This window comes from Homo sapiens, chromosome 12 (genome assembly GCF_000001405.40).
Source record: "Homo sapiens chromosome 12, GRCh38.p14 Primary Assembly".
Taxonomy (NCBI): Eukaryota; Metazoa; Chordata; class Mammalia; order Primates; family Hominidae; genus Homo; species Homo sapiens.
The window spans coordinates 100,070,600-100,096,610 of record NC_000012.12 but is presented as its reverse complement, the minus strand read 5'-3'; the positions used below and the strand labels follow the sequence as shown (position 1 = coordinate 100,096,610).

General features: G+C 38.2%; 1 protein-coding gene across 8 annotated transcripts in view; it reads left to right on the top strand.

The window, feature by feature from the left end:
* Positions 1–26,011, top strand: part of BLTP3B (bridge-like lipid transfer protein family member 3B) — a 105,803-nt gene that overhangs the window by 46,264 nt on the left and 33,528 nt on the right. For 5 of the 8 annotated variants that reach the window (XR_007063059.1, NM_015054.2, XM_047428554.1 and 2 more), the window contains 6 exons: positions 774–944; positions 7,516–7,696; positions 10,253–10,336; positions 11,953–12,135; positions 13,477–13,595; positions 23,798–23,939. Coding sequence is in view for 7 of the 8 variants with exons in the window: in NM_015054.2 (NP_055869.1) it covers positions 774–944; positions 7,516–7,696; positions 10,253–10,336; positions 11,953–12,135; positions 13,477–13,595; positions 23,798–23,939 (880 nt within the window). In the remaining variant the exon portion in view is untranslated. Of the gene's footprint in view, positions 1–773; positions 945–7,515; positions 7,697–10,252; positions 10,337–11,952; positions 12,136–13,476; positions 13,596–18,335; positions 18,450–23,797; positions 23,940–26,011 lie in introns of those variants that run through there. The other 3 variants (XM_005268739.5, XM_047428555.1, XM_011538054.4) reach the window with 3 other exon arrangements.

Here is a 26,011-nt window from a genome sequence, read left to right as displayed (position 1 = left end):
CTGGCTTCAAGCAGTCCTTCTGTCTTGACCTCCCAAAGTGCTGGTATTATAGGTGTGAGCCACGATGCCTGGCCTAAACATTTTTATTTTTGGTAAATTGAATATATTTCTCAGTTGCCAAATACTTGTTGAACATTTACTGTCTTATAATTTCATTTCTTCTATTGAATCTTTGAATTAATACAAGTAATTATATAATTTATCAGCTATAAATGCAAAATTAAGTTATATAAGTGCTATATAACTTGTAAGGTACAAGGATTTGTCTGTCTTTTGTTACCACTGCATCTCTAGTACTAGGTGATATTCCTTTCATATTATAGGAACTCAGTAAATACTACTACTTTTTTTTTTTTTGAGACAGAGTTTCTCTCTGTCACCCAGGCTGGAGTGCAATGGCACTATCTCTGCTCACTGCAACCTCTGCCTCCTGGGCCAAGCAATTCTCCTGCCTCCACCTCCCAAGTAGCTGGGATTACACAGGTGTCCGCCACCACACCTGGCTAATTTTTGTATTTTTAGTAGCGACAGGGTTTCTACCATGTTGGCCAGGCTGGTCTTCACCTCCTGACCTCGGGTGATCCACCTGCCTTGGCCTCCCAGAGTGCTGGGATTGCAGGCATGAGCCACCGTGCCCGGCCAGTAAATACTTCTTGTGTGAAGGAAGAATCCATATTTCTATTCAAAAACGTTTTGAAAACATTTTTTAATACAAGCGTATTATAAGGTTTATATCTTGGCTTAATTTTATAAAACATTTTTTTTTCCTACAGTTAAAGGACTGCAATGTCATAGCAACAAAGTTAGTTCTAATATTGGATGACTTATTATGGGTTTTGACTGATTCCCAGTTGAAAGCTATGGTACAATATGCAAAGTCTCTTAGTGAAGCAATAGAAAAATCAACAGAACAAAGGAAGAGTATGGCTCCTGAACCTACACAGGTAAGCTATAAAGTTAACAGGAAAAATACTTACTTTACATGAAAATAGTTTAAAAATTAGAAGGAATTGTTGGTATTTTCTTTAAGAGACAGATTGTGAGGTTTTGAGTACAAGAATCTTCTTTATCTAGATATCTTCTATGTAATTTTATATAAGTAGTAGCTATCATATCTGTTAGTGTTTATTCTGTTTAGAGCTCTGTATTAGGCACTAAAGCTAATGATGACATAAAAGTATTCGATGTTTTAATACCTCTGTTTAGGAAGTTAAAAGAGTACAGTTTTAAAACTACTAAAGTAAAAGCAAATGAGGAAAAAACCTGGGTAATTATAGGCAAGAGAGGACGTGTGAGAGTTAACTGTGCAGAGAATCAAAGCCATAAGGAATTGCTGAAATTGAACACAAAACTTCTGTTGGAGTTGTCTGATGGCTGGGGCAAGAACAGGGACAAGCATAATGAGCTATTTATCACTTTCTTAAAAGTGATTATTAGTTTGTATGGAGCATTATTAGTTGGTATGGAGAGGAAAAGTTTTTCTGGTCTTTCCCAGTAGTAAGTTCTGAGTACCAGTACATCAAGGTCTTTATAGAAGAGACAGTGATAGTTATAATGGATAATATTTTAAATAATTTTATGCAAAGTATAAATGAATTTTTATATCTACCTCTAGTAAAAACGTAACTAAATATTATAAAATTATACACCTACGAAGCTATTTCCTTGGAAACAGTGTTATACATCTCAGATATATAGCTTGTTGGTGATCCAGCTTTGTACATGGGAATGGCATACATTTAGGCTTTATTTTTTGAAACAGTCTCCCTTTAGCCCAACCTGGAGTTCACTGGCACAATCTCAGCTCACTGCAACCTCCACCTCCCAGGTTCAAGCAATTTTTGTGCCTCAGCCCCCCGCGTAGCTGGGACTACAGGCAAGTGCCACCTCGCTGAGCTAATTTGTTTTGTAATTTTGTTAGAGATGGAGTTTCGCTGTGTTGGCCATGCTGGTCCCGAACTCCTGGCCTCAAGTGATCTGCCCGCCTTGGCCTCCCAAAATGCTGGGATTACAGGTGTGAGCCACCATGCCCGGCCTAGGCTTTCAATGAATATCACATTGGCATTATCTATTGCCTGCCTACTATTTCCTAAGGTGCAGGGGTAGGGGTAAACACTGATGTAAAAATGAATATCATCTGACCCTGGCCTGAAGGACCTCAGAGAATAATGGTGAGTCAAATATGAAACAAATCTTTATAAGTAGGGGACAGGGGCTCATGTCTATAATCCCAGTACTTTGGGAGGCTGAGGCAGGAGGTTTACTAGAGGCCAATAATTCAGGACCAGCCTGGGCAATATATTGAGTCCCATCTCTACAAAAAATTTAAAAATCACCCAAGTGTGGTGGTGGTGGCATATACCTGCAGTCCTTAGCTACTTGGGAGACTGAAGCATGAAGATTGTTTGAACCCAGGAGGTCAAGCCATTGCACCCCTGCACTTCAGCCTGCGTAACAGAGTGAGATCTGTTTCCAAAAGAAAAAAGGAAAACAAACAAATCCCCAAATCATTGTAGTTCAACATAAATGTTAGCATGAAGAAGTAAGGGAAAGGGTTCTGTGTAGGGACTACAGAAACACAGAGAGGTTTTAATTAATTGCTTGCAGGGTGTGGAAAGGTTTCACAAAGAGGTTAATAAAATTACGTCTTAGAAATGAGTAGCAGTTCACAGGCAGACATAGGGAAAAGGCATTTCAGAAGAGACAATAGAATCTGCAGAAATATAGTATTTTTAAAGATCATGATATTTTCTGGTAAAGATAAGAAATTTGGTGTTACTAGAGTAGCGTTTTTAGGAGTGAGGTTCAAATGCCTCACGATATATTACAATTTTCCAAGTTTTATATTTTAAAGAAATTGAGTTCCACACATTCCACCTTGATGTGTATTCTTTCTTAAACTTGATCTGCCAGAGAATATGGTTGCATTAAGATGTCAGGCTGGTTTTCCCTTTCCATAATGACTCTAATCCTACTTTATAAATGAAAGACATTATTACTCATCCTCAGTCTTACTAGGATGGATTTGAACAGGAAGGGGGTAAAAACTCCTCTGGGAAACAAGATAGAGTGGCAATTTGAAATATTGCTATTCATGTTGGAAATTGCAAGCCAGATGATTTTTAGTTATTTTCAACACATGTGAAGGAAGATCAAATAATTGTCAGCTATTAGAGATTATTAAAGTAATTTTTTTATAGTAGATCACTTTGTGAATCCTGGCAGGTAACTCGAAAGAATCGAGTCACATGGCTAAAACAAAACTGCTTTCCTTCCAATCTGTCTATTTATGTGAACAAGGTCTTCTAGAGCCTGTAGCCATAAAAACAAATAAACAGATATAGAATTGAAGGTAAACTCTGTATTATTCTACCAATAAATTATTCATCCATGAGGCATCTGCAGAATTCTCTGGGGGACCTGATTTTAAACGTTTGGCAAACAGACCACTGGGCCCTAACATAGAATAGTTTTCCTGGACTGGTAGCCCGAGTTGAAACAAAAGTTTGCAGTGACTGTATATGAAACATGTTGTATAATGTATTGAAGAATTTGGACATTTTCCTATGGGCATTTGGGAGCCAGTGGAAGTTTTTAAGTAAGTTGAGGATAAGGAAGAGAGAAAAGTTCAGAACTTTAGAATGACAGTTGGTAGTACCGTTAGCCAATAAGGGAAGGCAGAAGGAAGTAGATTTAAGGGAGGTGAGGGTAAGAAAAGTCATTTTGAAGCTGAAAAAGTATAAGGAAAGAAGTACAGGAGACTATTTTGCAATATTACCATCATAGACATAAATACTATTCTGTTAAGACTTGCAAGGAAGATTTTGGTAGCTTAGGTTGTGATTGGTAACAGAGATGGCAGTCGTAGTTAAAGACTAATAGATTGAAGGTTGATATTACTATATAGCTCTTATAATATGTGGATATGTTTATATAAAATGGAATATGGATTAGAAAACTAGATACATATATATTAGGAAACTAGTAACAAGGACAAAATTTTGTAATCTCACTATGCTAATAAAACCTGTGCTACCATTTTGAGGTATTTTCTTACAGGTTTTTGCCCCGGCCTATGTACTTTTTCTTAGTTGTAGTTAGTATTTTGAGGTATTTTCTTACAGGTTTTTGCCCCAGCATATGTACTTTTTCCTAGTTGTAGTTAGTGGGCATATGCAAGTTTCTTCCATGTCTTTAGTCTTTGTAGCTATTACGTTTTGTTGCTCCATAATATTTTATAGTGGATATACTTAACCATTACCACAGAATTGCTTTCTTGGGTAGTAGTTATCATGTCACTACTTCAGATATCACACAGAATGTCCTAATCTGATTGTTTCAGGTCCCAAGACAACGTGTCAGAAAGTGAATTAGTTAACAGTGTTTCTTTGCTCAACTTTACAACTAGGCAGTTGTTTTCTATTATAAGTATTTGCTTAGCTTCATTTTATTCTTCTCTAAAAGAGAAAGAAGACTATTTTGAAAATTAAGAGTTATTAACATTATTCATAGGGGCCAGGTGCAGTGTAATCCCAGTACTTTGGGAGGCTGAGGCAGGCGGATCTTTTGAGGTCAGAAGTTCAAGACCAGCCTGGCCAACATGGTGAAACCCCATCTGTACAAAAAATTAAAAAATTAGCCAGGCATGGTGGTGGGTGCCTGTAATCCCAGCCACTCAGGAGGCTGAGGCAGGGTAGTCTCTCAAACCTGGGAGGTGGAGGTTGTTGCAGTGAGCTGAGATTGCACCACTGCACCCTGTCCTGGGCGACAGAGCAAGACTCTGTCTAAAAAAAAAAAAAAAGATTTGGCCAGGCGAGGTGGCTCACGCCTGTAATCCCCGCACTTTGGGAGGCTGAGGCGGGTGGGTCACCTGAGGTCAGGAGATCAAGACCATCCTGGCTAACACGGTGAAACCCTGTCTCTACTAAAAACACAAAAAATTTAGCCGGGCGTGGTGGCGGGTGCCTATACTCCCAGCTACTCGGGAGGCTGAGGCAGAAGAATGGCATGAACCTGGGAGGCAGAGCTTGCAGTGAGCCGAGATCATGCCACTGCACTCCAGCCTGGGCAACAGAGCGAGACTCCATCTCAAAAAATAAAATAGAATAAAATACAAAATTAGGGGCCGGACGCTGTGGCTCACGCCTGAAATCCCAGTACTTTGGGAGGCCAAGGCGGGCAGATCCCAAGGTCAGGAGTTTGAGACCAGCCTGTCCAACGTGGTGAAACCCTGTCTCTACTAAAAAAATACAAAAATTAGCTGGGCGTGGTGGCGGGCGCTGTAGTCCCAGCTACTCTGGAGGCTGAGGCAGGAGAATCGCTTGAACTGGGAAGCAGAGGTTGCGGTGAACCGAGATCATGCCACTACACTCCAGCCTGGGTGACAGAGTGAGACTCTGTCTCAAAAAAAAAAAAAAAAAAAAAAAATTAGCCAGGCGTGATGGTGCACGCCTATAATCCCAGCTACTTGGGAGGAAAATCACTTGAACCCAGCAGGCGGACGTTGCAGTGAGCTGAGATCATGCCACTACACTCCAGCCTGGGTAACAGAGTGAGACTTTGCCTCAAAAAAAAAAAAAAAGGATTATTCATGAGGCAGAGAGCTTATAGTGGCCCATTTTTTTTCTTCCAGAAATAGCATCCCAAAACCTGACTTTACCATAGTATTAAGAAAAAGGTTTGTAGGTAGATAAATGTTTATATTTTTATTTTTATCAGTATTTATCTTGATAAGAGAGAAAACATAATGAAAGAAGTACCGGAGAGTATTTTAAATAGCACCATCATAGACATAAATACAGTCTTGTTATAGCTTTGAAAATGGGAAAAGCAGGAGAAAAAGTGTTTGATATCAGTTTAACAATTAATTAATAAAAAGTTTTCTGGAGTCTATAGTATTTAACGTTTTACAGCTATATTTCACTTTGTTTCTTTACTTACCTTGGGCTGCAATCATTTTCATGAAGAGATTCTCATTTACTAAGTATACTTTGCAGTTCTTTTACAGTATGATCATAGTTCTTCATAGATGTAATATGTGTAAATATATATACATGCAAAATACATATACTTTGATTTTCTTTAATTATCTTTAGTTAATAACTTGTTCTAAATTTGAACATTGTTAATTTTTAAAGTGGAAAATTTGGTCTTATAATTATTATAAAAATTCATCTACAGTTTTGTGGCTCATATGTCAGATAATCTTACATTATAGTTATGTATACAAAATAATTTTAGGCTATTAGAGGTTCATATTTATTTTTATATATCAACAGGGTTCTATACTATTTCTCTTCAGGGAGAAAAATATTTGAACTCACAACCTATTTATAAATCCTGTCTCCTTTCTGGCTTCTTTAGTTATTCAAGTTCAAAGGACATACCACATCTTTTAGGAGAGGCACCAGAGCACTTAGAGTACTAAATAATATCACAGGGGCTTCTACAAAGATGTGCTTTATTTCTATAGGATATCATATTAGTCCCTTTTCACGCTGCTGATAAAGACATACCCGAGACAGGGCAATCTACTTACAGTTCCATGTGGCTGGGGAAGCCTCGTAATCGTGGTGAAAGGCAAGGAGGATCAAGTCCCATTTTACATGGATGGCAGCAGTCAAAGAAACAATGAGGAAGCTGCAAAAGCAGAAACCCCTGATAAACCATCAGATCTCGTGAGACTTATTTACTACCACCAGAACAGTATGGGGGAAGCCACCCCCATGATTGAATTATCTCCCACCAGGTCTCTCCCACAACACGTGGGAATTGTGGGACTACCATTCAAGATGAGATTTGGGTGGGGACACAGGGCCAAACCATATCAGATATATAACAGTGTATACAGGGCCCACATTTGTTTTGTTTTTAATATATATAATATTCAAATAAACTGCCTTTAAGAGTTAACTACATTTTCTAAAACAAGGGCTATAAATATGTTAAATATAACTTCAGATATTTACTGAGATATATTGGGTTCATATTTGATTTGTGTATAGTTTTACAGTTTTTTTGTTTGTTTTTTTGTTTTTGTTTTTGTTTTTTTGAGATGGAGTCTCGCTCTGTTACCCAGGCTGGAGTGCAGTGGCACGGTCTCAGCTCACTGCAGCCTCTGTCTCCCGGGTTCAAGTGATTCTCCTGCCTCAGCCTCCCAAGTAGCTGGGATTACAGGCATGCGGCACCACGCCCAGCTAATTTTTTATATTTTTAGTAGAAATGGGGTTTCAGCATGTTAGCGAGGCTGGTCTTGAACTCCTGACCTCAGATGATTCGCCTGCCTCGGCCTCCCAAAGTGTTGTGATTACAGGCATGAGCCTAGTTTTACCGTTTTTAAATTTTAGTTTTATTCTTAGGTAATTCAGAAAATATTTTAGGGAAAATATATTATTGATGAAAAATAAGATGTACTATGGTTATTTTTCATGACTTTCGACTGAAAATACTTAGATTTTTGTGTGAAATTTCCAGTATTTAAATTGGCAGTGATAAGGCAGTTTCGAATCTTTTTAGAGCTCTACAGTAGTCGCATCTGCCCAGCAAGTGAAGACAACGCAAACTTCAAATGCTCCTGATGTAAATGATGCAATTGTGAAACTATTCAATGATTTTGATGTTAAGGAAACCTCCCATCATTTAGTGATTTCTCATCTAGATCTACACATATGTGATGACATTCATGCTAAAGAAAAAGGTAAAATAACTTGCTTATTTCAAACTATTTTGGTTTTTCTAGAATTGACTACAAAACTGGATTGTTTATTAAATCTGTTGTGTAGGATGTCCTGTAAGATAATTTGTCATAATTGTGTTCATATGAATATATAGATGAAAGGCACAACTGGAAGCATATATTGGTATGAAATTTTATTTTGCTTTAGCAGTACTTAAGCTTAATTATTTGTTAGCTATCAATGCTAACAATAAAATTAGCTTTAAAAAAATCAGACTGAATAGATGATCCTCTAGGAGGATGATGAAATATTAGACTCGCCTTTGAATTAACTTTTTGATAATGTTGAAATTGTCTCCAAATTAAATTTTAGTCCATACTTAATTCATAATTATTTGTAGATGTGTTTTCAGCATTGCAGTTTTTCTACCTATTTTGAATAGAAGCACAACTGTGCAACTATTTAACATATTTTATGGCCACCTCTCTTCCCATCCTTCCAAAATTTGATTAGGAAGCAAAATTCCAGTTAGGAATTTTCTTTTAGTTTTTGTCCCTGTTATTTTTCCTTATTTAGTAGATGTAGTTCTGTAATCTAGGCGCTGGGCGTTTTTGTTTCTCTGCTGGAGAGCATCCCTGGCCCAGAAGTGTTGGGGTTGAGTTCAGCAGGTAGGCCTACCTTAAGGACTATAATTCTCAAACTTTGGTGAGCATTAGAATCAGGCTGAAGACCTTTAAACAATAGAGTTATCTGATCTCTGTGCCTCAGATCTGAATCAGGATCTATATCTACAAAAATTTTTGCCATGTGTTTTTAAGCTGAGAAAGTGAATATTGAGACCCTGGATACTTAGCAGTAGAAGTTACCCTGCCTTCATTAGACAAGGCAGCCTAAAAGATTCCAGCCTAAAAGGTTGGAGGGGCAAAGGTGAGGAAGATTCGGGGTTTGTGGAGGGATTTGTTATCTTTTGTTCTGACTACCATTGTGTCATTTGACTTATAGTTGGCATCTTTTACTTTAGAGATTTGAAAGGAAAATCCAAAAAAGTTAGAACAAACCAAACTAAGAAAATGAGGTGGTCAAGATTAAGTAGTAAGAATGAGAATGGAGAAAGTGTTTTCTAAGGCCTTACATTCCTCACTATTCCCTGATAGAATAAATTGAATGATTTTATTTAGGAAGAAAACCTTTTCACCAAAATATCTCCTTAATAGTACAGGTCTGTAATCACTATTGTGAAATCCAAAAGGCTCTGAAATATTATAAGTTTGTGAAAAACTCATTTGGTGGCAAAACCTGACTTATGCCAATACTTTTTTTTATTCTTTGCCTGCTTCCTATAAATATTTATGTTTTGCTGCAGAATTGCTATTTTTATTAGTGCTGCCTCAGAACCTGCTGAGAGTGTTGCATGGTATATCCTGTATATACCGTATCATATTACTGTCGTGAAATCTAAACATTTCTGAATTCTGAAACATTTGGCTTTCCAAAGGTTTTACGTAAGGGATTGTAGACCTGTGCTGAAAATTCTACTAGTTGAGATAAATTGGATTTTACAAATTAATATAGGGAGTGTATACATAGCTATGTCTCAGTTAGTATTTTTCTTTCTTCTGATTGATTTGCCCATTTTGTTTTAAAATTTGATTTTTATGTTCACGTTATACCAATTTGTAATCTACTTTTGATTTTACTATAGCTGTGTGACTTTGGACAACTTACCTAACCTAACAGACTTTTAATAATTTCCCTTTTTTTTTTTTTTTTTTTTTTGAGATGGAGTCTCACTCTGTTGCCCAGGCTGGAGTGCAGTGGCTCAAACTCGGCTCACTGCAGCCTCTGCCTCCCAGGTTCAAGCGATTCTCCTGCCTCAGCCTCCCAAGTAGCTGGGACTACAGGGGCGTGCCACCATGCCCAGCTAATCTTTGTATTTTTAGTAGAGACGGAGTTTCACTATGTTGGCCAGGCTGGTCTCGAACTCCTGACCTCGTGATCCACCCGCCTCGGCCTCCCAAAGTGCTGGGATGACAGGCGTGAGCCACCGCGCCCAGCCTTAATTTCCTTTTCAGTAAGAGGTAGGATGATATGGTGTAGTGTTCAAGATTTCCTGGGTTCAAATCCAAGCTTTGCACTTAACTAGCTGTATGTCCTTGGCCTCTTTGTGCCTCAGTTTCCTTATCTTGAAGATGGGGATAATAATGATTGTACCTATCAAATGCGGTTGTTATGAAAACCAAATGAGTAAGTTTACCTAAAGTATTTAAAATAATGCCTGACATATGGGGAGGCCTTGTCAATATAAAAGTTGTGCTAGTATCATCTGTGAACTCTACCAGGGCAGGGATTCTGCTATTCTTATATTCTTACCTTTTATCCTGGTGCCTTACAAATGAGGGGGGCTCAGTAAATACTCATTGGATTGAATTATATTTCCTAAAATCCTTAATGTGCCGTCATAAAAGAGAGACAGTTATTACTATTTGGACTCCAAGTATGCTAAAATTTTTCTGTGGTAAATTAAATCTTTCTGATAATTGACTTAATATTTCCCCCCCCCCCTTTTTTTTTCCCAGAGTCAAACAGACGTATTACTGGAGGGGCAATGCAACTCTCTTTTACACAGCTAACTATAGATTATTATCCTTATCATAAAGCAGGTGTGTATAACAGCATCTTTAAAAGATATAAATGTTGTTTTCAAATTATATAGCTAATTTATTTAGTTTAGTTTTATCTTGCTTTTATTTGTTAACAAGAAATGAGATGAAGAGATTGGTATTTTTCTCCTGGCAGTATTTCATTAAGAAAGTAGAATTGCCATGGAATATAGTCATACAGTGTATATTGACATTTATATAGATTTTTAGAAATCATAATTTTTAGAAATTGACAGTTTTCCAAATAACCAATTTAAAACTTAAAAAAAAATCAGGGTACAGAGGACATGTGTTTGTGCTGTTTTGTTAGTTGTGACCAAAACAAGTTATTAATGTTTTAAATTTTTAAATGATTTATATATTTAAAAATTAGAAAAGAGTATGAAGCTAGGAATGAAAAGAGTATGAAGCTAAGAATAAGAGTATGTTTAGCTAAATTATAGGATTCCAGATTTCATAGGCTCTTAACAATCTGGTATTGGTAGATTCTTTCTCCCAAATAATGAAAAGAAAAAAAAAGTATGATTATTGTGACCAAATTAATTTGACTTTATACCGTTTTTGCCTTCTGTTAGTATTTAGCATTCACACAAGTGAGAAAAACCAAACTAGAGATCATAGAGTTTTCCAGGACATTTAAAAAATGGTAAAGTTTTTCTGTTCACACATTTTTGTTTACACGTTTTTTAACCAATGTTTGTCATTTCTATGTTGGTACCTGATTAAATTTAAAAGTTGTATGATTTTTTTTTCATTTTAAATTTTCATTGCCAACATTCAATATAATAATTCTCTTTTGAAGGATTTTGTCTTATATACTATCGTCCTGACTCATAAATTAACTTACAAATGCATAAAATTTTTAACTAGATATTTATTTTTGAAGAGGTGTGAAACATTCATAGAGTAAATTTTCTTTTTTTTTTTTGATCCAAGGCCTCACGAGTGCAGTGGTGTGATCACTGCTCACTACAGCCTCGACCTTCTGCCTCAGCCTCCCAAAGTGCTGGGATTGATTACAGATGTGAGCCACTGCGCCTGGCCTGATTTTATTGTCTTAACCCTTTTATGTGCATTTTTCTTAGTTGCTACAGAGAAGCCTAATGATTCTGATTATATATTTTTCTTCCAAAAACTAACTATGGCTGAGTACATCTTGAGAAGTTTTATTGGTTTCTTAAATGTTTTAATCATCATCATCTTATCATTTTTGTGGTTTAGGTTTTTGTTAGTTAACTTGATAACACATCTTTGAAGAAAGGATTCTATTTATTTGATAATATTTTCTGGGATTCAGTTTAATGCAGGTTTACCAGGTAATTGAGCATCCAGTGAAGGGTGACGAGTCATATGGCTTTAAATTGAATCTTAGTGATTTTCTACTAAGAATGGGTACTAGATAGAAACTCCTCCAGATGATTTGCTTTTGACATTCTTTCCCTCTGTTTCAAATGTTTTACTCATATTTCGAAATTACATGTAGGTGAAGCCTGTAAATTTTTCAGATATCAAAGTCTTTCTTGAATAAACGACTAAATCTCATTGGAAGCATTACTATAATATAATAAATGAAAGTTGTACATTTTTCAATGAAATACCTGTTGTTCATTTTACAGGAGATAGTTGTAATCATTGGATGTATTTTAGTGATGCAACCAAAACAAAAAATGGATGGGCCAATGAGTTATTGCATGAATTTGAGTGCAACGTTGAAATGCTTAAACAGGCTGTGAAGGATCATAATGTAGGTTCACCTCCTAAATCCCCAACACATGCCTCTCCCCAGCACACACAAACAGGTATTTTACCTATAATAGCATTCCCCTAATATTAAGAGTGTTTGCACTCTGTGTGTGTGTGTGTGTGTGTGTGTGTGTGTGTGTGTGTGTGTGTGTGATCATAGTATTTCCTGTAAATGAGTATTTTTTTTTCTTCTTTTTAATGTAGAGATGGGGGTCTTGCTATGTTGCCTAGGGTAGTCTCAAACTCCTGGCCTCAAGCGGTCCTCCCACCTTGGCCCTCCGCAAAGTGCTGGGATTACAAGTGTCAGCTACCATGCCCAGCCAAGTATTTTTTTTTTTTCTTTGAGACAGGGTCTCACTCTGTCTCCCAGGCTGAAGTGCAGTGGTGTGATCTCGGCTCACTGCAACCTCTGCTTCCCGGGTTCAAGCGATTCTCCTGCCTCAGCCTCCTGAGTATCTGGGATTACAGGCACATGCCACCATACCCAGCTAATTTTTGGAGTTTTAGTAGAACCAGGGTTTCACTGTGTTGGCCAGGGTGGTCTCAAACTCTGGACCTCAAGTGATCTGCCCACCTCAGCCTCCCAAAGTGCTGGGATTACAGGCGTGAGCCACCACGCCCGGCCTAAGCCAAGTATTTTTAATTAATGTCTAAAACCCCTGTATCCTTTGCTCAGACCAACATAGGCTTGTGGACCAAAGCACTTTTAAAATTAATACAACCAATAATAGTCACACCCAGGAAGAATTTTTCTAGAAGGTTTCTTTTTTTTTTAAGTCAACACATAATAATTGTACGTATTTATGAGGTACAGTGTGATACTACTACTTTTTTTTTTTTTGCTGGCCCAGTAAGCATTGAAATGTGATATTTTGATACATGTATACAAACGTATAACACTAAAAGCAGAGTAATTAGCATATTCGTCACCTCAGACATTTATTAGTTAAGTTGGGAGCATTCAAAATCTGCTCTTACTAGCTATTTGAAAAAATAAATTATTAATTATAGTCACCCTATAAATGCTAGAATTTACTTCTCCTATCTAGCTATACCTTTGTATTCACTAATCACCCATTGTCTGCCCCTCCCCTTCCCTCCCCCATACCCTTCACTTTCTACTTCTATGTAAATATGTCATTTTTAACAAGAGTCCCATTCCAGAGTTTTTGTAGAAGACTAACTTAAATGTGACATGTGTGATTCTTCTTAAAAGAATAATCATCACAATAACTTACATCCTGTATTACTTTATAATTTATAAAGTATGTCCACAAATATTATCTTGTTTGAGAAGTTAGTATTCACATATATTTCTGGTACCTGCCTTAATAATAAAAGAGTGACTGTTAAAAATAATTTTGCAATGAATTGAAAGGAGTTTTTGTTTCCAACAGAGAAGGACTACCCTCTGAAAGGGACATGCAGAACACCTTCAGTATTATCTCAACAATCAAAAGCTAAGCTAATGTCTAGTTCTGTTGTGGTTAGACTTGCAGATTTCAATATATACCAGGTATGTTTTCTTTTCCAATTAAGTTTTCTCATAAACACTTTAGTATCTCATCTAAGCAACTTAAATAACAAATGCTACCATTTTATTTAAAAAATCTTTACAAGGTTTATGAAATGGCCATATTAGATGGCATAGAAAATATCAGTTTATTAATTTTTGATTATATGGTTACTCAGTTAACCAAACTAACTTTATAGGCACAGTCCTTAAGTTTGCCTAAATGCTTCTGACACAAAACAGCATGTTCTCATTACAAAAACAGATGCATAGACCAATGGAACAGATTAGGGAACCTAGAAATAAAGCTGCACACCTACAACCATGTGATCTTCGACAAAGTCGACAATAACAAGCAGTGGGGAAATGCTTTCCTATTTAATAATGTTGCTGGGATAACTGGTTGGTCATATGCAGAAGATTGAAATTAGACCCTGTTGTTTCACCACACACAAAAATTAACTCAAGATGAAATGAAAGACTTAAATGTAAAGGCTGACACTATAGAAACCCTGGAAGACAACCAAGGAAATAGAATTCTAGAGATTGGCCTCGGCCAAGATCTCATGAGGAAGACTCCAAAAGTAATTGCAACAAAAACAAAAATAGGCAAGTGAAACCTCATTAAAGAGCTTCTATACAGCAAAATAAACTGTCAACAGACATCCTACAGAATGGGAGAAAATATTCACAAATTATTTATCTGACAAAGGTCTTAATATCCAGAACCTATAAGGAAATTGAATCGACAAGCAAAAACCAAACACCATTAAAAAGTGGGCAAAGGACATGAACACACACTTCTCAAAAGAAGACATATGTGCAGCCAACAAGCATATGAAACAGTGCTCAACATCACTAATCAACTGAGAAATACAAATCAAAACCACAGTGAAATACCATCTCACCCCACTCAGAATGGCTGTTATTAAAACACAAAAAAATAGATGTTGGTGAGGTTGTGGAGAAAAGGGAATGCTTATACACTGTTGGTGGGAATGTAAAATAGTTCAACCACTGTGGAAAGCAGTTTGGAGTTTTCTCAAAGAATTTAAAAAAGAACTACCAATTGACCCAGCAATCCCATTACTGGGTATATACCCATAGGAATATAAATTTTTCTACCAAAGATAACGTGCACTTGTATGTTCATGGCAGCACTATTCACAATAACAAAGTCATGGAATCAACCTAGATGCCCATCAGTGCAGTGGATAAAGAAACTGTGGTACATATACACCGCAGAGTACTATGTAGCCATGAAAAGAATGCAGTCATGTTCTTTGTAGCAACATGGATGCAGCTGGAGGCCATTATCCCAAGTGAATTAATGCAGGAAAAGAAAACCAAATATTGCATATTCTCACTTATAAGTGGGAGCTACACATTGAGTGCACATGGACACAAAGAGGGAAACAGAAGACATGGGGTCTTACTTGAGGGTGGAGGGTTGGGGAAGGGTGAGGATTGAAAAACTACTTAACGGGTACTATGCCCGCTACTTGGGTTGTGAAATTATTTATACACCAAACCCCAGTGACACGCAGTTTACCAGTATAACAAACCTGCACATGTACCCCCTGAACTAAAGCAAAAGTTGGAAGAACAAAAATAAAGACTTCAGACACCAACTACAACTTTGGGAGTTTCCAAAAACTACCCTCTGGTTCAAAATTCACTAGAAAGACTCACAGAACCACTGAAATATATTAAAGTCACATCCATTGTAGTCACATTATACAAATTACAACCAGCCATAGGAAGAGATGCATAAGGCAGAGTCTTTTTTTCCTCCTCTGTATTAGTCCATTTTCATGCTTCTGATAAAGACATACCCGAGACTGGGCAATTTACAAAAGAAAGAGGTTTACTAGACATACAGTTCCACATGGCTGGGGAAGCCTCACAATCATGGCGGAAGGCAAGGAGGAGCAAATCACATCTTATGTGGATGGCAGCAGGCAAAGAGAGAGCTTGTGCAGGGAAACTCCCATTTTTAAAACCATCAGATCTCATGAGACTCATTCACTACCACAAGAACAGCACAGGAAAGACCCACCCCCATAATTCAATCACCTTCAATCATAATTCAGTCACCTTCCACCAGCTTCCTCCTACAACATGTGGGAATTGTGAGAGCTACAATTCAAGGTGAAATTTGGGTGGGGACACAGCCAAACCATATCATTCTGCCCTGGCCCCTCCCAAATCTTATGTCCTCAGATTTCTAAACCAATCATGCATTCCTAACTGTCCCCCAAAGTTTTAACTCATTTCACCATTAACTCAGAAGTCCACAGTCCAATGTCCTGTCTGAGACAAGACAAGTCCCTTCTGCCTATGAGCCTATAAAATCAAAAGCAATTCAGTTATTTCCTAGATACAGTGGGGGTACAAGGCATTGGGTAAATACAGCTATTCCAAATGGGAGAAGTTGGCCAAAACAAAGGGGCTACAGGCCCCATGCAAATCCGAAATCCAGCAGGACAGTCAAATCTTAAAAGTTCCAAAATGATTTCCTTTGACTCCATGTTTCACATACATGTCACGCTGATGTTAAGAGGTGGGTTTCCAGGAGGCGGAGCTTACAGTGAGCTGAGATCGCGCCACTGTGCTCCAGCCTGGGCAACAGAGCAAGACTCTGTCTCAAAACAAAAAAAAAAAAAAAAGAGATGGGTTCCATGGTCTTGGGCAGCTCTGCCCCTGTGGCTTTGCAGGATACAGCCTTCCTCTTGGCTGCTTTCATGGACTGGTATTGAGTGTCTGCTGGCACCTTTTCCAGGCACATGGTGCAAGGTGTCAGTGGATCTACCCTTCTGGAGTCAGGAGGACGGTGGCCTTCTTCTCACAGCTCCACTAGGTGGTACCCCAGTAGGGACTTTGTGTGGGGGCTTTGACCCCACATTTCCCTTCCACACTGCCCTAGCAGAGGTTCTCCATGAGGGCCCCACCCCTGCTGCAAAATTCTGCCTGGGCATCCAGGCATTTCCATACATCCACTGAAATCTAGGCGGAGGCTCCCAATCCCCAGTTCTTGACTTCTGTGCACCAGCAGGCTCAGCACCATGTGGAAGCTGCCAGGGTTGGGGCTTGCACCTTCTGAAGCTATGGCCCAAGCTCTGTGTTGGCCCCTTTCATCCATGGCTGGAGCAGCTGGGATGCAGGGTACCAAATCCCTAGGCTGCACATAGCACAGGGAGCCTGGGCCTGGCCCATGAAACCACTTTTTCCTTCTAGGCCTCTGGGCCTATAATGGGAGGGGCTGCCGTGAAGACCTCTGACATTCCCTGGGAGATATTTTCCCCCATTGTCTTGGGGATTAACATTAGGCTTCTCTTTACTTACGCAAATTTCTGTAGCTGGCTTGAATTCTTCCTCAGAAAATGGGGTTTTCTTTTCTATCGCATTGTCAGGCTGCAAATTTTTTGAACTTTTATACTCTCCTTGCCTTATAAAATGAAATGCCTTTAAGAACACCCAAGTCACCCTTGAATGCATTGCTGCTTAGAAATTTCTTCCACAAGATAACCTAAATCATCTCTCAAGTTCAGAGTTCCACAGATCTCTAGGGCAGGGGCAAAATGCTGCCCGTCTGCTAAAACATAACAAGAGTCACCTTTCTTCCAGTTCCCAACAAGTTCCTCATCTCCATCTGAGACCACCTCAGCCCGGACCTTACTGTTCATATCACTTTCAGCATTTTTGTCAAAGCCATTCAACAAGTCTCAGGAAATTCCAAACTTTCCCAAATTTTCCTGTCATCTTCTGACCCCTCCAAACTGTTCCAACCTCTGCCTGTTACCCAGTTCCAAAGTCACTTCCACATTCAGGTATCTTTTCAGCAGTGCCCCACTCTACTAGTACCAATTTACTGTATTAGTCGGTTTTCACACTGCTGATAAAGACATACCCAAGACTGGGCAATTTATACAGGAAAAAAGTTTAATAGACGTACAGTTCCACATGACTGGGGAAGTCACAACCATGGCAGCAGAAAGCAAGGAGGAGCAAGTCATGTCTTACATGGATGGTGGCAGGCAAAGAGAGAGCTTGTGCAGGGAAACTCCTATTTTTAAAACCATCAGATCTTGTGAGACTCATTCACTACCACAAGAACAGTGCAGGAAAGACTTGCCCCCATAATTCAATCACCTCCCACCAGGTTCCTCACACAACACGTGGGAACTGTCAGAGTTACAATTCAAGATGAGATTTTGGTGGGGACACAGCCAAACCATATCACCCCCACAGTACACTGATGTAATAATAATAAAACAGCGTCTTGGAGCACTTGAAATGTGAAACTTTTCCTCAGGACTTATTAGCTTTCTAAGGATGTGGAACCCTATATAGATGTGTAAATATATGGATGGATGGATATTTAACAATATGCATGAAGTATTGGTCATGAGGTTTTACTCAATCTCTAGGTGAATTGGTAATCAGATTACCCAAAGCCCCCACCCTCTTAACGCAACTAGGCTATCAAGTGTGGCCAGCTCCACCCTGCGTCGTTTTGCTATCATAAACTATCAGCTGTGGTGTCAGGGGCTGTGTTAGGCTGTTCTTGTGTTGTTGTAAAGAAGTACCTGAGACTGGATAATTTATAAAGAAAAGAAGTTTAATTGGCTTTTGGTTCTGCAGGCTATATTGGAAGCATGATGTGGGCATCTGCTCAGCTTCTGGGGAGGAGGCCTCAGGGAACTTTTACACGTGGTGGAAGGTAAAGCAGGAGCAGGCACGTCACATGGCAAAAGCAGGAGCAAGACAGAGAGTGGCGCAGGGAGGTGCCACATACTTTTAATCAACCAGACTTTATGAGAACTCACTGTTGTGAGCACATCACCAAGCCATGAGGTATCTGCCCCCATGACTCAAACACCTCCCATCAGGCTCCACCTCCAATACTGGGGATTACAATTGAACATGAGATTTAGAGGGGACAATATCCAAACTATATCAGGGGCCAACCATAAATAGGAAATTCCAATTCCTAGTTGCTTCCCAGGAGCAGGGTCAGAGGGAGACCAATTTCCTTATTACACAGTAGTCTCTGTGGAAGGATCTAAAATGCCTTTTTTGCTTTACGGAACTACAGTATACTATATATACTGTATTGGCTATACTGTGAATATAATTCTATAGCTAAGAACTCTGTCCTATTTATACTAACAATCTTACTCAGTTTATAATCACCTAACGTGGTCTAATTGCAATGTTTGAGACCAACACGATAATATATGATCTATTCTTAAAAAATAAAAGATTTCTAGATTTATCATTTATAAATTGTTCTGGTTTATTTTGATAAGTCTGTGGCTTTGAGACTTAGTTTTATGTGAAAAGTTTTTATTTAACTCAGTGATTCCCCTCTGGGACCAATTTTGCCCCCCAGGGGACATTTGGCAATATCTGAAGATAGTTTTGGTTGTCACAACTGGACAGGGATGCTGCTGACCTCTAGTGAGTAAAGACCAGTGATGCCGCCTGTTAAATCCTACAATGTGCTGGTCAGTTCCCCACAATGAAGAATTATCTAGCTTAAAACGTCAGAAGTGCCAATGTTTAGAAACTGATTTAACAGTTATTTTCTCATTATGCAGTTACTACTTACTTTACATTCGATATACAGTCATGTGTTGCTTAACATCATTAACTGTACTTAGATGGTATGTAGCCTACTTAAACTCCTAGGCTATATGTATGGTATATCCTATTCCTCCTAGGCTTTAATCTTGTATATCATGTTACTGTATTGAATACCGTAGCAGTTATAACACAATGGTATTTGTGTATTTAAACCTTACCAAACATAGAAAATATACAGTAAAAATACAGTAAATACAGTATAAAAGCTGTGTTATAATCTTATGGGATCCACATCTTATAAGTGGCCTGTCATTGGCAGAAATGTCATTATATGGTGCATGACCATATGCTCCAGCTTTTTAAAAGACTTTAAATTTTAGGATTTAAATAAATTTATGTGGAAATGAGAAAGAGGAATCACTTATAATCCCACATGGTTGTGAGTGAAATACAGTAAGAAACCCCACATATATATACGCAACCACACCAAACACAAAACAAAATAAACAAAAGTAAGTAGAAGAACATAAGATAGTATGTTTGTCCCAATTCGAATAGGTTTTTAACTATTAGAGGAAAAAAGAATAAGCCGTTATTTGTTAAAATAAGTTGACATTTTGAATTGAAAAGAATTTGTTTCCATATATGCAGAGAAAAGCTTTTTAATTAGATACTGTAAGGAACTGACTTGAATTTATAAAGACTATACAAATTAAAATGATTGATTAAGCAATTTGGCTGGGCACGTTGGCTCACGCCTGTAATCCCAGCCATTTGGGAAGCCAAAGTGGGTGGATCACTTGAGGTCAGGAGTTAGAGACCAGCCTGGCCAACATAGCAAAACCCCCTCCCTAGTAAAAATACAAAAATTAGCTGGGAGTGATGGTGCATGCCTATAGTCCCAGCTACTTGGGAGGCTGAGGCACGAGAATCGCTTCAGTCCAGGAGGCAGAGGTTGTTGTGGGCCGAGATTGTGCCACTGCACTCCAGCCTGGATGACAGAGTGAGACTCTTATCTCAAAAAAAAAAAAAAAAAAAAAAGATTGCTGAGGCAGTTTATATAAGAGGAAACGTAAGTAAACCATTGAAAAATTATTCTACTTCATATGAGACATATACACGTCTATTGAATGATGAATGGAAAAAAAAACATCTCTGGGTATACTAAACTAAAACAAATAAATGAAACTGATAAAACTTTATTGGTTGAACTTTGTGAATATTAATATATACATTTTTGATGACATTAGCTGGTTTTGGGGGGTGAAAAAAATGTAACCAGAACCTTAAAACTAATAGTTTTTTTTTTTTTAATTTCAACTTTTATTGTAAACTCAGGGTACATGTGCAGGTTTGTTACATTTTTATATTGCATGATGCTGAGGTTCAGGGTGTGATTATCCCACCATCCAGGTGGTCAGCATAGTACCCAACAGGTAGGTTTTCAGCCCTTATTCCCCTTCCTCCCATCCTCCTTTTGGGGTCTCCAGTGTCTGTTGTTCCCTTTTTTGTCTCCATGCGTACCCAACATTTAGCTCCCACTTGTAAGTCAGAACATGCAGTACTGCAGCCTCACCAGCATCTGTATTTTGACTTTTTAATAATAGCCATTCTAACTAATGTATCTGAGATGGTATCTCACTGTGGTTTCGATTTACATTTCTCTGATGATTAATGATGATTAGTGTATTGAGCATTGTTTCATATGCTTGTTGGCTGCACATATGTCTTCTTTTGAGAAGTGTGTGTTCATGTCCTTTGCCCACTTTTTAATGGTGTTTGGTTTTTGCTTGTTGACTTTTGTTCAAGTTCCTTATAGATTCTGGATATTAGACCTTTGTCAGATGAATAATTTGTGAGTATTTTCTCCCATTGTGTAGGATGTCTGTTGACTCTGTTGATAGTTTATTTTGCTGTATAGAAGCTCTCCAATGAGGTCTCACTTGTCTATTTTTGTTTTTGTTGTGATTGCCGTTGAGGTCTTAGCCATAAATTCTTTGCTAAAGCCTATGTCCAGAATGGTATTTCCTAGCTTTTCTTCTAGGACTTTTATAGTTTGACTTCTTATATTTAAATATTTGTTCCATCTTGAGTTAATTTTTGTATATAGTAGAAGGTGTAGCCGGGCGTGGTGGCTCACACTTGTAATCCCAGCATTTTGAGAGGCCGAGGTGGGCGGATCACGAGGTCAGGAGTTCGAGACCAGCCTGGCCAACATAGTGAAACCCCATCTCTACTAAAAATACAAAACTTAGCTGGGCGTGGTGGTGCGCGCCTGTAATCCCAGCTACTCAGGAGGCTGAGGCAGGAGAATTGCTTGAACCCGGGAGGCAGAGGTTGCAGTGAGCTGAGATCATGCCATTGCACTCCAGCCTGGGTGACAGAGCTAGACTCCGTCTCAAAAAAAAAAAAAAGGAAGGTGTAGGGGTCCAGTTTCATTCTTCTAAATATGACTAGCCAGTCATCCAGGCACCATTCATTGAATAGGGTGTCCTTTCCCCATTGCTTGTGATTGTTGAATTTGTCAAAGATCAGATAGTTATAGGTGTGCGATTTTATTTCTGGGTTCTCTATTCTGTTCCATTGATCTATGTCTCTGTTTTTGTATCAGTACCATGCCATTTTGGTTCCTTATAGTATAGTTATGTAATGTCTCCAGCTTTGTTCTTTTTTCTTAGAGTTGCTTTGGCTATTCAGGCTTTTGGGTTTCATATGAATTTTTAAATATTTTAAAATTTTTTTCTAATTTTGTGCAAAATGATGTTTGTAGTTTGATAGGAATGACATTGAGTCTGTATATTGTTTTCAGCAGTGTGGACTTTTTTTTTTTTTTTTTGAAACAGAGTCTTGTTCTGTTGCCCAGGCTGGAATACAGTGGTGTTAGCTCACTACAACCTCCGTCTCCCGAGTTCAAGCGATTTTTATGCCTCAGCCTCCCAAGTAACTGGGATTACAGGCGTGTGCCACCACGCCCAGCTGATTTTTGTATTTTTGGTAGAGATGGGGTTTCGCCATGTTGGCCACGCTGGTCTCGAGCTCCTGGCCTCAAATGATCTGCCCGCCTCAGCCTCTCACCGTGCTGGGATTACAGGTGTGAGCCATCATGCCTGGCCCAGTTCTTGTAGAGATCTTTTATCTTTTGGTTAGATGTATTCCTAGGATTTGTTGTTGCTGTTGTTGTTGTTGTTGTTTGGCTTTCAGCTTGAATGTTACTGGTATATAAAAATACTGCTGATTGTTTACATTGATTTTGTATCCTGAAACTTTATTGAAGTTGCTTATCAGTCATGGGAGTCTTTTCGTGGAGTTTAGCATTTTCTAGGTATAGAATCATATTGTCAGCGAAGAGAAATAATTTGACTTCTTTTCCTATTTGGATGCCCTTTCTTTCTTTCTCTTGCCTGATTGCTCTAGCTAGAACTTCCAGTACTATTTTGAGTAGGAGTTGTGAGAGGGGGCATCCTTGTCTTGTTCCATTCCTTAAGGGAAATGATTTCAGCTTTTGCCGCTTCAGAACGATATTAGCTGTGAGTTTGTCATAGATTACTCTTACTGTTTTGAGGTATGTTTCTTTGATTCATAGTTTGTTGAGGGTTTTTATTGTGAAGGGACGTTGGATTTTATCAAAAGCATTTTCTTTGCCTATTGAGATAATCATATGGTTTTTGTTTTTAGTTCTGTTTGTGGTGAATCATATTTATTGATTTGTGTATGAAACATAGTCTTTTTGGAAAATGAATTCGAGCGATCAAACTATTTGACGGAAGTGTTTATAGCTATTATTTTTAAATTAATTTTTTATTGTGGTAAGGTATGACTGAATTTACAATAATAATTATATATATATACACACACATATACATATTTAGGTTTTTGCCATTGAAAGTAATGGCAAAACTGCAATTACTTTTGCACCAACCTAATAATATCGGCTAGGTGCAGTGGCTCACGCCTGTAATCCCAGCACTTTGGGAGGCTGAGGTGGGTGGATTGCTTGAGGTCAGGAGTTTGAGACCAGCCTGGCCAACATGGCGAAACCCCGTCTCTACCAAAAAAAAAAAAAAAATCTGTGTCTGTATCTATATATTATATAATAATTGTCGTTAAGCACATTCACGTTGTTGTGTAACCAGTACCATTATTTGTCTCCAGAATTTTTATTATCTCAAGCAGAAACTGTATATAGCTCTGTTACTTTTCATGGTAATGGAGAGATTATGGTAAAGATTATTTTAAACAGCGTACGGGGAAGCATTCTGGATTTGAGGACTTGGATCTATGTCCTGACTGCCATTTACTTATCTATATTATCTGATAGAATATCGTTATCATTTTTCTGTTGTTTTTAAGGCTCACAATAATAAGTTTGTAAGGAATATTGTACAGTGTTGATTTTGTGATTGATAAGGATCCAAAAAGATTATAGAGTTTTCTGAATAGTTGATGGGTGTTTAAAAATAATTCCATGTGAAGTTAAATATATAATAAAGTTTACACTGGAAATTAACCATTAGCAAAGTTTTGTAAGTAGTTTTAAAAGTACTGTCTGGGTTGCATAAATTATTTGGAAAGGTTTTTATTCAGTGTGATTTCAGTAAACTTATTTATCTTTTCAGGTCTCTACAGCGGAACAATGTCGTTCTTCCCCCAAAAGCATGATTTGCTGCAATAAAAAATCCCTATATCTTCCACAAGAAATGTCAGCTGTCTATATAGAATTCACAGAATATTACTATCCAGATGGAAAGGATTTTCCAAGTAAGAGAGTTTTTAATTATTATTTGTCCATTATTTGAGAAAGTATTTTTTTCTTGTTAATATTTTTGAGTTTTATAAATATGAAAAATAAATAAAACTGTATTGTTCCTTATTTATTATTAGTTTTTTGAGAGCTAGCATCTCACTGTGTTGCCCAGGCTGATCTCAAACTCCTAGGCTCAAGCCATACTCCTGCCTTGGCCTCCCAAAGTGTTGGGATTGCAGGCATGAACCACTGTGCCCAGCCCCTATTGTTCTTTATTCTTATTGTGTATAGTGCATAAGTCTAGTCTAACAGTTTTAGATGTTGTTATTATTTGTTTATGTATCCTTTTCCCTCCCTAGCTTGTAGAATCCTTGATGGCAGGAATCATGAGGTTTTTTCGTTTTTTGTTTTTTGTTTTTTTTTCAAGGCAGAGTCTCGCTCTGTTGCCCAGGCTGGAGTGCAGTGGCACGATCTCGGCTCACTGCAGCCTTGGCCTCCCAGGTTCAAGCGATTCTTGTGCCTCAGCCTCCTGAGTAGCTGGGATTACAGGCATGCACCACCAGGCCCAGCTAATTTTTCTGTGTTTTACTAGAGACAGGGTTTCACCATGTTGGCCAGGCTGATCTTGAACTCCTGACCTCAAGTGATCTGCCCACCTTGGACTCCCATAGTGCTGGGATTATAGGCATGAGCCGCCATGTCCAGCACATCTGGTATTTATGTTCATTTTATTCCAGATATTCAACTTACTTTGTGCTTAATAGCTGTTTGTTAAAGAATCAATGAAAGCTAGGTTATTTGTAGAATAAAGTCATTTGTTTCCCCTTAGTAAAACTCCATTTATATGTCAGCTATATAACTTCATTTATATATTATTGAAAAAGTAACTGAAGTTGTCCTTTTAGCTGTAGAGAATTTTTTTGACTGTTTTAAAATGCCTAAATGTATACTTTGGGCAACTTTTAGCATTTACAATTTTCAGAAATATTGAATTACATGAATTTTTATTTTTAGAAGCTTCTTTGGCTTTCTAACGTTAAAATGATTGTACATTTGTATTCTTTGAATATTAAAACTCTTTAGCTTCCTAACATTAAAATGATTGTACATTTGTATTCTTTGAATATTAAAACTCTCTGCTATTGTCTCAGTTCATCTAGAAATTCCTTTTTTTTTTTTTTTTTTTTTGGAGACATAGTCTTGCTCTGTCACCCAGGCTGGAGTGCGGTGGCGTGATCTTGGCTCACTGGAACCTCTGCCTCCCGGGCCCAAACAATTCTTGTGCCCCAGGCTTCCGAGTAGCTGGGACTACATGTGTGTGCCAACACTCCCGGCTAATTTTTGTGTTTTTGATAGAGATAGGGTTTTGTCATGTTGGCCAGGCTGGTCTCTAACTCCTGGCCTCAAGTGGTCTGCCTACCTCAGCCTCCCGAAGTGCTGGGATTACAGGTGTGAGCCACTGCACCTGGCCCATCTCGGAATTCTTAAACTAAATGTTGCCCTCTTTTCTGTGATACCTTTTTCATCATGCTAGCTGAAAATCATAGTTGAAAATATTTAGATGAAATAGGTTTTGTTATCAGAGGCATAACAAGTTTTATGTCCTTTCTTTAAAAGTAGAACTCCAAAATACTTAGACCTACTTGCCCATTTATTTAATATTGATTTATTAATATATGTTGTTTTTTTTTCTGAGACAGATTCTTGCTCTGTTGCCCAGACTGGCATGCAGTGGTGCGATCTCAGCTCACTGCAACCTCTGCCTACCAGGTTCAAGTGATTCTCCTGAGTAGCTGGGACTACAGGCATGCACCACCACATCTGGCTGATTTTTGTTAATTTTTTTTTTAGTAGAGGTGAGGTTTCTTTTCTCCTTGTTGGCCAAGCTGGTCTTGAGCTCTAGGCCTCAAATGATCTGACCTCCTTGGCTTCCCAAAGTGCTGAGATTACAGGCATGAGCCACCGCACCCACCCTATTAATATATGTTTTTAGTTTCAAAAGGAACTTCTGATCCTTATACCATAGATTTTGCCTTTGTTGCTAAATTAAGAGATGGCATCCTGGGAATTACAAGGCTGTCTATCT